The 15,628-nt window shown below is 39.1% G+C and overlaps 1 protein-coding gene across 4 annotated transcripts in view; it reads right to left on the bottom strand.

The window, feature by feature from the left end:
- The window catches only part of SLC16A10 (solute carrier family 16 member 10), a 143,692-nt gene that overhangs the window by 45,303 nt on the left and 82,761 nt on the right, over positions 1 to 15,628 (bottom strand). For 3 of the 4 annotated variants that reach the window (NM_018593.5, XM_047418167.1, XM_011535422.3), the window contains exons 2-3: positions 13,053 to 13,197; positions 8,227 to 8,680 (exon numbers count right to left, since the gene is read on the bottom strand). In NM_018593.5, coding sequence (NP_061063.2) covers positions 8,227 to 8,680; positions 13,053 to 13,197 — 599 coding nt within the window. Of the gene's footprint in view, positions 1 to 6,180; positions 7,491 to 8,226; positions 8,681 to 13,052; positions 13,198 to 15,628 lie in introns of those variants that run through there. The other variant, XM_006715329.3, reaches the window with a different exon arrangement.

Genomic DNA, 15,628 nt, shown 5'->3' with positions numbered 1-15,628 from the left:
ATTTACACATTAACAGGAGGGAACAGTTTTCCAACACACTAATTCTTTAGAGCTCTCTCAGGAGACTAATGATCCACCAGTGGCCTCGGAGCGTTTATATGTGACTAAATTTCAAGCAGTTTACCTTTTTCCATTTTCCTGCAATAGTATTTATGTTAATCAAATAAAGGATAGATCTTGCTATAAATTTGTACATGTCCATTTTTGTTCTTCTGTTATGCTTAATGTTTACTGTAGAAAGCAAAATTGAACACAAAGCTATGTATGGTCCATGTTCTGCTTGTCACAGGTTGTGAAAAGTAACTGCATGGCCTCAGTTTTCTCATATTCACAATGTACTTGAGATCAAAAGAGAAGTTGGGGCTGAAAATAAGGGTATAGATATTTTCTCATTCCCATTAATTATATCAAAACAAAAGCTGGTTTCCTCCAGAGTTTTCTCCCTGGCTGTGAAGCATGCTCTGAGTGCTGGAACAGCTCAACATGGCCTCTGTTCTTCGTTCTGAGAGAACAGAAGGGAAACGTGCAAAGCAATCTTTGGTGTAGGCCCAGTATGGCTGAAAATAGCAGCACTCCTATCTCTGGATTAGCAATGAAGGAATGCAGACTCCTTCATAAAAAGAGTATATTTCAGACATATTTGTCTGAAACCTGTGTTCAAATCCCAGCTTTAAGCATAATGCGAATGGCTTTGAACAAGCACAGCTTTGCAGAATTGTTTCCTTGGCTCTAAGTATGTGTTATTTATTACACTCATCCTTGTGGTGGTTCTGTGAGATTTTGGGGAAGTGCTTGACACATAATCAATTCTTGGCAAATGTTACATGAATCTCCCTCTGAGGAAGCCACAGAGAGATGAAGGCTTGTATGCTGTTCCTATTTGCGTGGCTCAGCGCCCTTAGCTCTGGCTTGGAGCAGTACTGCTGCTCTGACCACAGTGTAAATGGAGGTGCTCTGCCTAGCAAGGTCTAATAGCTACATTCCAGTGTTGATTGACCCTTGGCAGCATCTGGCACTACTCAAAGCTAAAAAATACCTTTCGAGGTTTACATGCTCCCTGTACTGACTTATTAGTCTCAAATTTTCATTTCTGGTTTAAAAATACAATTCATGGCCAGGGGCGGTGGTTAATGCCTATAACCCAGCACTTTGGGAGGCCGAGGCAGACAGATCACCTGAGGTCAGGAGTTTGAGACCAACCTGGCCAACATGGTGAAACCCATCTCTACCAAAAATACAAAAATTAGTCAGGCGTGGTGGCAGGTACCTGTAATCCCAGCTACTCGGGAGGCTGAGGCAGAAGAATCGCTTGAACCCAGGAGGTGAAGGTTGCAGTGAGCCGAGAGCATGCCGCTGCACTCCAGCCTGGGCGACAGAATGAGACTCAGTCTCAAAAAAAAAAAAAAATCATTTCCAATTACTAGTGGACTTGAAGTTCACCTAATTGCCCTGCTAGCAAGCAAATGATCTGTCTGTCTTGAACCATAGCATCAGGTAAATGGGATCTTCCTACCAGGTCAAAGTTTCTTTTGAGAACAGTCAATTACTATCTGCCACAAAGTCAACCCACTTATAAGGGAGTTTTTAAAAAACAGGCTAATGAATACATATTTTACAGATTTCAATATGAGTCAGTCATCTTCTTGACAGAGAACCATGTGGATCTAAAATTTAAAAACTGAAATTTGACCCAATGATATGGTCTAGAGTCAAAGAACACAGGTACTAAGTAGCTGATTTTCAATCTGAGTAGCAGGGGAGAGAGATGAGAGTAACTGAAACTACATCATCAGCTTCAGATTGGAGATAGAGCATTTCATGCCGATGAGAAAAGTTACCATCATTTTTGGTAACTTCATTATCATTGTCACTGTCATTCTTCGGCATTTATCATTGTCATATTTGGCATTTATCATTGTCATATTTGGCATTTATCAGTTATCTCACGAGGCCCTATGCTCAATGCTCGACCAAAGCTATGCAGACCTGAGGCCTGGTTATGGTTCTGCATCCTGCATCCTATTCTTAAACACACCACTCCAGACTCTTTGAGATTTTTCAGTGGGTACTGAAGACACAGTTACTTGAGGGACCAGAAATTTCTTCTATTTATCTTAAAATTTCAGCAAAGGCATAAGTGAATCAGAGCAAAACACACCAACTCTCTCCTCCATCAACGGACAGCATTACTGGTTACTCAATTATTCCGAGGTTTCCTTAGTTTGAGCTTATTTGTTGAATAAGTATTGAATAAATATTAATAACACCATGTCCTGCAAGTACAGAATGTGAAAAATCATTATAGCATCAAAGTAGAGAATTTTAAAGATCCAAATGATGAAAAAATGAACATTACTTATACAGTGTCACTTCAGACTCACCCAGAATATATTTAGTCATTCAACAAATATTTGAGCACCCAGTGTGTGCTAGGCACTGCGCTAGATGCTTGGGATCTACCACTGAATGAAATAGATCCTTACCCTTGTGGTGTTTACATTCTAGCAGACGTGTAAATATACGGATAGTAAGCAATGACTACAATAAAGAAGTAAAATAGATAATGTTAGAAAGTATTAAGTGCTACAAAAAAAGAAAAGGAGTAATAGGAGCGGTTTGTGAATACTCAGGGGAAAAGGGACGCAGGAAGTTTCAAGCAGGTAGTCAGAGTGAGCCCCATTAAAAGGCGAATGGCAGAAGCAGAGTGGGCAAGGGACAGCGATGGAAGCTCGGAGAGGTAGTGGGGGCCAGATTGTGAAGGACCTTGTAGGTCACTGTAAGGATATTGGTTTTTACTCTTAGGGAAATGGGAAGCCATTGAAGGATTCTGAGCAGAGTGACTTATGTTTAGAAAGAATGCCTGTGGCTTCTTCATAGAGAACAAACTCCGCGGGGCAGAGAAGGAACAGAGAGACCAGTTAGGAGGCTCTGGCAGTGATCCAGGCTAGGGGTACGTGGTAGCCTGGGCTAAGGTATGAGTAGTGAGGATGGTGAGAGGTGGTCAGATCCTGGATATATTTTGAAAGAAAAGCCACCAGGATTTCTTCACTGGATCAGGACTATGGTGTGCAAGAAAGAAGAGCCAAGGATGACTCCAAAGTTTTGAGTCTGATCAACTGAAAGGGCGGAATTGCCAGCTCCTGAGATGAGGATGGCTGGGGGCAGAGTAAGTTTTAAGGGGTAAGATCAAGACCTCAGGGTTAGACAGGGTAAGTCTGAAACACCTAGCAGTTACCCAAGTGGAGATGTTAAGTAAGCAGCTGGATATACAGCTCTGGTGGAGGATTCAGGGAAAAGGTCTGGACCAGAATTATAAATTTGAAGTCATTGACATATACGTGATGTATGAACTTAGGAGACTGGATGAAACCACCGTAGAATACATGGAGAAAAAGATCAGGGGACAAGCCCTAGGACATGCTGATATTCAGGGGTCAGTGGGAAAAAGAAGAAGTGAGCAAAGAAACTAAGGAGGAGTGATGTGGAGGTAGGCAGAAAACCAAGAGAGTTTATGCTCCTGAAAGCTAAATGAGAGGAGTCAGAGGAGCCGTTAAAAAGGAAAAAAAAAAAAAAAAAAAAAAGAAACCCAGAGGCCAGGCGTGGTGGCTCACACCCGTAATCCCAGCATTTTGGGAGGCCAAGATGGGTGGATCACCTGAGGTCAGGAGTTCGGGACCAGCCTGGCCAATGTGGCAAAACCCTGTCTCTACTAAAAATACAAAAAATTAAGTCAGGTGTGGTGGCAGGCGCCTGTAATCCCAGCTACTAGGGAGGTTGAGGCAGGAGAATCACTTGAATCCGGGAAGTGGAGGTTGCAGTGAGCCGGGATTGCACCACTGCACTCCAGCCTGGGAGACAGAGCAAGACTCCGTCTCAAAAAAAAACGAAAACAAAAACAAAACAAAACAAAACAAAACAAAAAAAGATTCCAGAAAACAAAACAAAACAACTCTCAGGCAAAAGGGGCAATTCATAAAAACTGATGCAGCTGCTACTAGGAATCGTTTTTAGAAAGTTAGGCCTCATCTAAATTGATCTATAAGATTTGTATCCTTCTAAAAAAGATTTTAAGTGGGAAGGCCTAAAAGAAAGGTAAATTTAGCTTCGAGGAGGCAATCTAATTCTTCTTTTTGAAACGTCAACTACGAGAAGATCAAACCTCCAACCTCACTTTGAAAGCAAGCATGCATATTCTCTCTCAAATCATCATGTACAATCTAATAAGATCTTAGAATTTTTAACATAGCAATGAGAGCACTCCATTGTATTTCTGAATCTTCAAAGACCTAAACTGGTAAGTTAGTTCCCTAGTTGATCAAAGATCAGATTTGTACACAAAATCTCATGCTCAAGGCCCAACTCCAATGCTATGAAACTTTTTAAAACCACTTTTCCAAATGGGTATTATCTTTCTCCTTTCAAAATTTACTTCTATCTCAAGTTGGCAATCACATTGCCTTACATTAAAATAACTCCCATTTTTATGCCAGAACTGAGGTAGATGTTTCACATACATTTTATCTAATCCTCACAACTCTGCAAAATTGGGTTTATCTCCATAGATGAGGAAACTGATGCTTACAGAGGATGCCCAAGGTTATGCAACTAGTAAGAAACAAAACCTGAATTTAAATCCAGATCTGTCTTACTTCAGAACTTTTTTTTTTTTTTTTTTTGAGATGGAGTTTCGCTCTTGTCACCCAGGCTGGAGTGCAATGGCGCGGTCTCAGCTCACTGCAACCTCTGCCTCCCAAGTTCAAGCGATTCTCCTGCCTCAGCCTCCTGAGTAGCTGAGATTACAGGTGCAAGCAATCACGTCCAGCTAATTTTTGTACTTTTAGTAGAGACAGGGTTTCACCATGTTGGCCAGGCTGGTCACAAATTCCTGACCTCTGGTGATACACCTGCCTTGGCCTCCCAAAGTGCTGGGATTACAGGGGTGAGCCACCGCACCAGGCCCAGAACCTTCACTTTTAAACCACTATACAATACTGCCTCTTACATAAAAGTACTACAGTAATAATTATCAGTCACTATCTCTGTGACCTCAAGCAAGTTACTTCTTTATTTATTATCTGTTTTTTAGAGACAGAGTCTTGCTCTGTTACCCAGGCTGGCGTGCAGTGGCACAATCATAGCACACCACAGCCTTGAACTCCTGGGCTCCAGCAATCCTCCTGCCTCAGCCTCCTGAGTAGTTAGGACTACAGATGTGTACCACCACATCTGGCTCTTTATTTCTTCACCTTCCATATTTAAAAGGCTGCCACTAGGAGGAGGAGACAAATAAATTAAAAATTGTTCAATCTGTTCTTCCTTTAGAATACTTTATAATTTTTTTTAGAGATAGGGTCTTACTCAGTCACCCAGGCTGGAGTGCAGTCGCACCATCATGGCTCACTGCAGCCTTGACCTCCTGGGCTCATGCGATCCTTCCACCCCAGCCTCCCAAGTAGCTGGGACCACAGGCATGCACCACCATGCCCAGATAATTTTTTTAAATTACTTTTTGTAGAGATGGAATCTCACTATGTTGCTCAAGCTGGTCTTGAACTGCTGGGCTCAAGTGATCCTTCCACTTCATTCTCCCAAAGTGGTGAGATTATAGGCGTGAGCCACTGTGCCTGGCTGAGCAAGTTATTTAATCTTTCCGGGCCTTAGTCTTCCCTTCCATGAAATAAAGAGGATACACCACAGGTACTGCATTGTTGTGAATATTAAATAAGAGAATGTATGTAAAAGTGCTTTATAAACTGTAGCCATTTTTAATTACATGTACTAGGTTTATGCTCCTTCAGAGCAAATTTTTACGTCTCATATATGTGTCCCCTCAACAGTCAATAAAGGGTTTAGTAGGAATTGAACATCATCTACTTTACTAGTCTTTTGAAGGATATGAGACACCTTTTCCCTGTATAAGGAGGAAACTAGTGTCCCATTCCTGGTTAAGTATCCATAATTCAAACCTTAAATTACAACAAAGTGACAAACTCAGTACATAACCAAAGAGGAGATTTAAACACCTGTATGGCATTTAGCTATCTGATCTTTCCTCTACCGTGCTGCATTCGGTGCGATAACGGGCACCGTTATGAGAAAGAGAAAATCTCAAATGAACAATGTCAACATATTTTGTAAGAAAACATGCCTGGAAGAAGGGAAAGCAGAAAAAAGGCATGGTTTATTAACAGAATTAACAGAGACTTTATTGTTCTGTGCACCATCTGATTTGCCATCTCCTGATCACAAAAGTATCTATAACATTGTCTAACTCACCTTCCACTATGAAATTTTATTTACCTGAAGAAATAACATGCTTATTAAATTTCCTTAGGCATACTCATTTTTCCCCTAATAAGATGGACACATTTGGTAATATATCCAGGGAAGTGGCCCAATATGCTATTAAGACTGTAGACTGATTTTGCTACCAGGTAAGCACAGTGGAAGAGAACTAACTCCTGCTCTGCTGTTTACTGACATGTAATTCTTGGAAAATCACTTAACGTCTCTATTAACAATAGATCTGTTTTTCAGTCTGTAAAATTGGAGCTAATATTTATTTTATCTGCTTTACTGGTTTATTGTGAAAGTCAAATGAAGTAATATATGTGAAATTAATTTACAAATTATAAATATATAACCAAAAATAACTAGACAGTCATCTACCACTTTTCCTTTGGTAAATGTCTAGTATTAGCAAAGCTGAGTTATGATTTCTCTAGGTGTGTTCATGTGGTAGTACCAAAGAGAATTTTTTTTTAAAGCTGGGTGTGGTGGCTTGCACCTGTAATCCTAGCTGAGGCAGGAGGGTTGCTTGAAGCCAGCCTGAGCAACTTAACAAGACCCTGTCTGGAAAAAAGAAAAAAAAGAAAAAGAATTTCTACTCATCTTTTTAAGAAAGGACACAATAAATGTTCTCTTGACTACAGAAGCTATGAAAGAGGTTGGATGGTAAAGTTAATCCTGTCACAACAGATCTATATTCCAGGAAACTTACCTTAAGTTGGTTCGGCTATACTTTCCTAATAGTATGAAAATGGACTATCAGATCAGGATGTAGCCTGATAGTCCGTAAATCGGTTATATTTATACTTATTTCTTAACTAAAGAAAAATTGCACAAATCTCCAAAAGTAGACTGTAAGCTAGAAAAAAATCCAAGTTCACAAACATACAAATATGTGTGCCAATGCCATTTTTATCATTTACGGTGAATTGTAAATACATTTTCAGCCACAAAAGAAAAAAGGAAGAAACATAATGAACACTTTTGAACAAACGTTGCCAGGGGCAGATACTTTAGACACTGCTTCTTCCTTCTTTTTTTTTTTTCCTTCCCCAGGTAGGGATGAAGTCTCCTTATGTTGCCCACGCTGGTCTTGAACTCCTGCATCAGCCCCCCAAAGTGGTGGGATTACAGGCGTGAGGCACCAACCCCAGTCTAGACATTAATTATTCGTATTTCAGTATAACAAAGCTGAATTTTGCCTTTGAAATAGAAATAAACAATATAAACTTCTTGAGCACTTGAAATCCTAATTTCCTATAAAACCATAGTTCTCTTTCCTCATTTAGATCTTGAGTAACTTTTCTCAGATATTCCTCTGAATAGAATTCCCATTTTCCCAGAAGTGTACCACAAGTAGATGTAATGTTTCTTTGTATCAACATCATGGCTTTTTTGCTAATTACCTACACCCTTCGGTTGAAAAACAATTTACTTATGGTAGCAAAATCATAGCGCTAGCTTTGTCCCTGATAAAAGCCATATGAAGAAAAAGAGACCTATCAAATGTTTTATACTGATTGTAATTTGTTCCACTATTTTAGCCTTCCTGTTAAAAAACATTGTGTTTGTTTGGGGACATTTATTTTATTTTTAGAGGTAGAGTCTCTCTATGTTGTCTAGGCTGGATTCGAACTCCTGGGCTCAAGTGATCCTCCTGCCTCAGCTTAGTAGCTGGGACCATAGACAGGCACCATGGTGTCTGGCTGGGTTTGCAGGGTTTTTAAAATACCAAAGCACACTATGAAACATACTCTCTCTGTTTAGTGGTCTAATGGATGTGCTGACATTGTCTTGAGAGACCTTTCATTTCAAGAATACCAAAATTACAACCAGGATAATGTTTGAGGCCAACTTTAACTCGACCTAACTTTCTCTTCAAAGAAGTTTTTCTTTATTAAATAGTAATATTCATGATCAGTGAAGGAGCATACTCACCAAGTGAACATAAGGCACAAAGTATCCAAAAAGTGCAAGTGGTATTCCAACTGCCCACACTGCATAAGCTGTCACCTTGAAGATGGCAAAATTGAAAATTTTTTTTGGAGGACTGAACTTTTTCCTGGAAAAGAGGGAGGATCCGCTACCTCCACTCTCTTTATCTTTGGTACTGGTAGCAAGAGGTCGGTAAGTAAAGCCAGCCAGAAAGAGAACAAACATGAAGATGCAGAGCACCCTCAATGTGTAAAAGAGGCCCACGCTGTCAATCAGAACCCTTAAGAGCAAAGGCAGCAGGATTGTGAAGACACTGCTGCCAGCAGTGACAATGCCATTCACCAGTCCAAGGCGCTTCTTGAAATAGTGTCCCAAAATGACCAATGAAGGCTGGTATGCAAAGGAGCAGCCGCAGGCAAATATGATTCCATAGGTAAGGTACAGAGGCTCGATGGAACTGTATAAAGATGAAAAAGATGGAAAGCAGCTTTCAATATTGTTACTGTGTGCTTGGTAGAATAAAATCTTATAGTATAAGTGGGTTTTTGTTCATCAACATATTTTCTACAAGTAAAAGTTAACCAAAAAAAAAAAAAATTAACCAAAATAGAGGGAAAAACTCAGTAAGTCAAGCATGTAGCACTAAACGTATTTTAATTTAATCTGAATATGTGAAAAATAACCATTAAGGTCATCAGTGATTTTGTTCAGCCACCTCTTTCTGTGGATTTCAGGTGACGCACACAGCACTGAGTGAGAACTGTGCTCTCCACAGCTCAGAAATAAAGGTTGGTGCCAGGAAGGGTAAAATCAACAGTGATTCAATTAACAAACCAAAAACCTAGTCTCAATGAAACATTTTTTAAAAAAGTTAGAATTAACTATGAAATCTAATTATTTCATGGAGTTTTTCCAGGTACTTACCAAACAAGGTAGTAAAAGAAAAGGCCGCATTTTATATTTTTTCCCCAAGGTTATGTCAGGAACATTTGCACAGAGGTGCAGTTGTGCCTGTTTTTGCTGGCCTAAGGGCTGTAGACCAACCTTCGCCCTGTACTGCACTGTTCTCAGTATTGTGCAAGACAACAAGAAATCATATTCTGACTACAGAAAGACTTAAATTAAGTGTATTCCTTTAGTGATCCCAGTTTGTAAGCTGTAAGGCCATGCATGTGTCAAAAGAATAATGGATTAAATAATCTTACAGTTTAACCAAATAATTGCACATTTCTTAGGAAGATAAAGGATCATATCATTATGTTCTTTGAAACAATTATGGTAAGGAATAAAACTAGTTAAAGTTTTTTGAAAAGGCTATCAGTAGTAAAAGCAAACAATTTGTTAGAAAGTAAGATTAAAGTTGGTTAATAATTAAAATTTTGGATAATAATGCTAGTCTAGCAACATGCTGAGGTAATCATAAGGAACTCTAGAATCTGATAAAATTAAGGCATGTTGGCAATCCTCTCTCTGAGATGCCCTTCTCCCTCTACTAATCCACAGCTAGCACCACCTTCAAATCAGGCTCAAGAATCACTTCTAGGCTTTCCCAAATTAATCTCACCTCACTCTGATCACCCTTTACTGAATCTCCACTCTTTGTTTAGCCAACATATTAAGCAACTACTGTGTACCAGATACATTGTGGAAAAGAATATTAAAAATCTGGTCCTTGGCCAGACGTGGTGGCTCACACCTGTAATCCCAACACTTTGGGTGGCCAAGGCAGGAGGATGGCTTGAGACCAGTCTGGCAACATAGCAAAACCCCATCTCTATTTAAAAAAAAAAAAAATAGCTGAAATTAGCTGGGTGTGATGGCACATGCCTGTAGTCCTAGCTACTCAGGAAGCTGGGGCAGGAGGACGGCTTGAACCCAGGAATCCAGGCTGCAGTCAGCTATGATAACACCACTGCATTCTGGCCTGAGTAATAGTGAGACCCTGTCTCAAAAAAAAAAAAAATGTGGTTCTGCCTTCAAGATATTCATAGTCTGCTTAAAGAAACAAGACATCTATCCCAAATAATAATAACACAGAACAAAACAGAAATTAATACTTCATTCATTCTGTATCAGTTTTTCCACCTAAGTAGTTTTCCAGATAATTGTAACTTACTTAAAGTGCTTATTTGTTTTTATTTAACAATTTTAAAGAAAAAAATTTAAGTCTATTATACATTTCTCTCTGCCTTCTTCAAAGTGTATATTAAAAATACTGTTCACAGCAGAATCATCAGGAACATCAGTTCCTGTACAGTGGTATCACTGTACTGTAATGCTCTCAGTTGGAAAACCACAGAGCTTCTCCCTCCTGCAGAGTGAAGTATATGAGCTTTATGATGGTATTTGCACTACTGCTGAACCCTTTTCACTTCCAGGTTTTCCCTTCAGTAACACATGGTTCCAGTTTGTGACGTTTGGCAGCCAAATAAGTGCAATGTAAATGAGTAAGGCTGTCGGATACCAATCATATGTGCAAAAAGGATTCAGAGAAGGGACATGGGTGTGATTGACCTAAGTTGTTGGAGAAGGTTTTCCTCAGAAGGCAGAACTGGAGCTAGAGGAAAAAATGGACCTGCCACTTGACACTCAGAATCTATACCACATTTCCCCTTGCTCCTGTATCTTGCTCTCAAGTTTCAGTAGCCTTTGATCAGCAAGCTAAATAACGAAATTTAATAGAATATATGAGAATATTACATGTAGTAAGGGAATTTTGGTTTCAATAAATTTTGTTTCACTTAGAGGGTAGAGAAAGAGAGACAGAACTGGGTCACATCAAAATATATGTCATAATTTTTATTGCTCAGTGGTCAGAAAAATTTGAAAAACATTGCTTTGTATGTGTGTTTTGTTAACAAACTAGGTAGTAGATTACATAAGTTGTCTACCTCTCAGTCCCCTCTCTACCACAACTAGAGTTGTAATACATTCGGCAAGTGGTAGAGCCACAAGTACTGACAATAGGTACCTGGAAGCTTCCAGATCAAAGAAGCTATCTGATGAGGTATTAATAACATTAATTACATTAATAATAATGTAAATATTATGTTGCTGCTAAAATAAATCATCTCATGGAATTACCTACAAGAATCTTATTCCAAATAAAACTTTTTTCTTTAAAAAACAATTTTAGAAGAAAAAACCCATAAAGGTACTTTAAAGATGAAAATATCTATTTTCTACAAAGAAATAAATATAATTTTTAAAAATCCAAATAGAATTTCTAAATTAGATGGAAGAAAATATGAAAGAATGAGGCTCACTTTAGAGTTGAGGAAGGGATGTGTGTTGGGGGGTGGGGGGCGGCAATGAGTAAAACCAAGGATTCTGTTGATTAAATATTTAAAAATAAAAAGTCAAATGTAAATTTGACTTATTTTTCCTTAATGACCACATTAACGCTTTTCAACTAAAGCAGCATAAAGACAGCTAGGGACAGGAAAGAGGCAGGAAATGAAGATAAACCACTAAAGTAGAGACAAAGGATGGAAATCATCTTAAGAGGTTTTCTTCTTAATCACCTCCTGTTAGCCAGAGCTACATATTAAATCAGTGTTTGTCTAACTGAGGATTATTCTACCAACGCAAGGGACTTACAAGGAGAACTAGAGCTGCAGGGAGAGATGTTCCATGCAGTTATGTGCCCATCCGTTCCTTACAGTGAGTCCCTCTTCAGTGCACTGTGTCTTTTCTTCTAATACAGGAATCCCCAATCTTTTTGGCACCAGAGACCAGTTTCAGGAAGAATTTTTCCATGGATGGTGCCGGGGGAGGGCGGTTAGGGATGATTCAAGTGCATTACATTTATTGTGCACTTTATTTCTATTATTATTACATTGTAATATATAATGAAATAATTATACAACTCATCATAATGTAGAATCAGTGGGAATCCTGGGCTTGTTTTCCTGAAACTAGACAGTCACATCTGGGTGTGACGGGAGAAAGTGACAGATCATCAGGCATTTAGATTCTCATAAGGGGAGTGCAACCTAGATCCCTCATATGTACAGTTCACAATAGGGTTTGCACTCCTAGAAGAATCTAATGCTGCCACTGATCTGACAGGAGGTGGAGCTCAGGTGGTAATGCAAGTAATGGGGAGCAGCTATAAATATAGAGGAAGCTTTGCTTACTCACCCACAGCTCACCTCCTGCTGTGCAGCCCAATTCCTAACAGGCCATGGACCCGTACCAGTCTGTGGCACAGGGGTTGGGGATCCTTATTCTAATAGATACAGGAGAAGTACATTGACATTAAGTTTTATTTTAAGGTACATTGGACCACTTCATTTTGCCATGATATTTTAAAATTTTAGCATGTTCTTTTTTTAAAGAACAGACAGGAATTCTCTACCTGGGTTGGAATAAATGGCAAAGTTTTGGTCTCATTAACAAAAATATTTCATATCAAGCCTATGAACAGCTACTTTAAAACACCACTTATTGTAACCCGTGGGCCTCAGACTGAACTGACCCTAAACTAAGGCTGCTGTTTTAGATAAATCATTGTTATAACTTGAGTGCCATTAGGATTTTTATGTGAATAGAAGAAAAAGATAAGGAGAAACATTTTTCCATGCACCAAGAAACACATATATCCTGATTGATGTCTAAGTCTTAGGCATTACAAGAAAAAAAAGCATTCAAATTCTCAAGCTCTGATTTGCTGCTATGGATAACAGTTTGTTTTATAAGTCATATTGCTTAAAGTTTTAAAAAATGAAAAGGAGGATCTTTGCTTGTAAATAGCATAGTTTCTGAAAGTAAAACTTTAAGGTATCTAACAGTTTTTAAAAAGCAACATGAAAAAACCAAGTCCTTACCTTACAAAAGAACTGGACATGAGCCCAACAAATCCAACAGCAGCACCCACGACAGCTGTTTTCCGACAACCAAATAGGTCTGTGAAGACGCTGACTATTGGGCAGCAAAAGAAAATCATCCCCATGGAGAGAGAACCTACCCATGCTGTAAAAGAAGGGAAAGCGTGGGGGGAATTATGACATGGTAAGTTATATTTGTATTTATTCCATTGATATAATACACATTTAGAAAAATTTTATTTTTAGTTTTTTTGAGTATAGTGCCTAAGCTTAGTTCTTTTGCCATGGAAATTGACTCATACACTAGTAGAATATTTGCTGACCTGGATAATAGTTACTGGGTATTTATTTTATAATCATTTATAAAACCATAGATATGTTTAATCTTTTTTTCTGAAGGTATGTTATATTTCACAATAAAAAAATTGAGAATCAGAAGTCAGATTCCATAAAAACTCAAAAATGAAAACCAACAGGAAAGAAATATTAAATACAAATAATCATAATTCTGTGCCAAAGAAATGAGTAATCTGACTTCGCTGAGGAAATCAAGTCTGTAAGTCCTTCTAAAATATATAATAAACTAATGGAACCTAAGTGAAAATGGGCTATGGAAAAAACAGACATGAGTCATATTCCCAGCTCTACAACTACAACGTATTCTTGGTCAGGTTACTTCCCCTCTGAATGAGTTTTCTTATCTTGAAAATGGATCAAACACATACCTTTCTAGAATTATTAAAGATTAGAGAAAGTGTATATAAACTTCAGTATCTGGCACATAAGCACTTAATAATTTAGAGTTTAACACTGATGATGACAACAAATTGTCTGTCTTGGTAGATGACCCTGAAGCTCTATGCAGCTCTGGAAGTCTCCTAGTATACTACTCTATTTTCTTAGCAAAGGAAGTTAAGCCCTATGCAAATGATCATCATTTCTAGAAATGAGTTTCATATTAAGTCCAAACGAAACTTTACCATACTAATAATTTAATTTTTTGCCTTTTTTTTTTTTTTTTTTTGAGAAAAGGTCTCACTCCGCTGCCCAGGCTGGAGTGCAGTGGTGCAATCTCAGCTCACTGTGATCTCGACAGCCCAGGCTCAAGCAAATTTCCCACCTCAATCTTCCAAGTAGCTAGAACCACAGGTGTGCACCACCATGCCTGGCTAATTTTTGTACTTTTTGTAGAAACAAGGTTTTGCCAGGTTGCCCAGGCTGGTCTTGAACTCCTAGGTTCAAGCGATCACCCACCTTGAGCCCAGAAATTTTTTGCCTTCTTACATTTTAAAGTATTATGAAAATTATATGTATTTTAGTCAGTCATATTTCTTTTGTGTGTGTTTCTTTTGTACAGACAGGGTCTCACTTTGCTACTCAAGCTGGTCTTGAACTCCTGGCTTCCAGCAATCCTCCCACCTTGGCCTCTAAAATGCTGGGATTGCAGGCGTAAGCCATGGCCCAATCAGTAAGCCATATTTCTATTTTCTTTCTTCCCTCACCAGAAAGAAGACTATAATCTTAAAACACAATGAAGAGACTGTGTAAACACTGTCATCTTGACTTAGATGGTGGTGACAGGGATTCAAAAGTAGACAGTAGGAAGGAGCTGATTGGCCAAATATATTAGCACAATCCAATCAAGACATGCAGAGCCTTACAGTATGGAGAGCTTGAGACAGGTTAAATTTTCTTTTTTTAATGAGACAGGGTCTCGCTGTGTCACCCAGGCTGGAGTGCGGTGACGCAATGTTTGCTCACTGCAACCTCTGCCTTCTAGGCTCAAGCCATCCTCCCACCTAAGCCTCCTGAGTAGCTGGGACTACAGGTGTGTGCCACCACACCAGCTAATTTTTGTATCTTTTGTAGAGACAAGGTTTCGCCATGTTGCCCAGGCTGGTCTCAAACTCCTGGGCTTAAGTGATCGGCCCACCCTGGCCTCCCAAATTGCTGGCATTACAGGCATGAGTCACCACACCCAGACTAGTAAGAATTTGTTAGTCTACTATCTTATACAAAAATTTTACTAATCTCTAATCATTTAATTTCATTCAAAAAAGTTCAGACATCTATGGTTTAAGAAACAATCTAGGCTGGGTGCGGTGGCTCACATCTGTAATCCTAGCACTTTGGGAGGCCGAGGTGGGCTGATCACCTGAGGTCAGGAGTTCCAGACCAGCCTGGCCAACATGGTGAAACTCCGCCTCTACTAAAATACAAAAATTAGCCAGGCGTGGTGGTGGGTGCCTGTAATCCCAGCTACTCAGGAGGCTGAGATGGGAGAATCACTTGAACCCGGGAGATGGTGGTTGCAGTGAGCCGAGATCGCGCCACTGCGCACTCCAGCCTGGGCAGCTGAGCGAGACGCTTTCTCAAAAAAAGAAAGAATCTAATATAAATACTAGGCAGGCTAGAAGAAAATATCCTAACATCTACTTTTATTTTTTATTTATTTTTTACAGCAAACATTGCCTGACAACTAACATCTACTTTTAGATAAAAGCAACTTTTATAATTAAGGGGCCAACACTAAATATTAGACCACATCAAGAAACCCAAGAGCATATCCTTATATT

This window comes from Homo sapiens, chromosome 6, assembly GCF_000001405.40.
Source record: "Homo sapiens chromosome 6, GRCh38.p14 Primary Assembly".
Taxonomy (NCBI): domain Eukaryota; kingdom Metazoa; phylum Chordata; class Mammalia; order Primates; family Hominidae; genus Homo; species Homo sapiens.
This window is presented reverse-complemented; position numbering and strand designations above follow the sequence as displayed.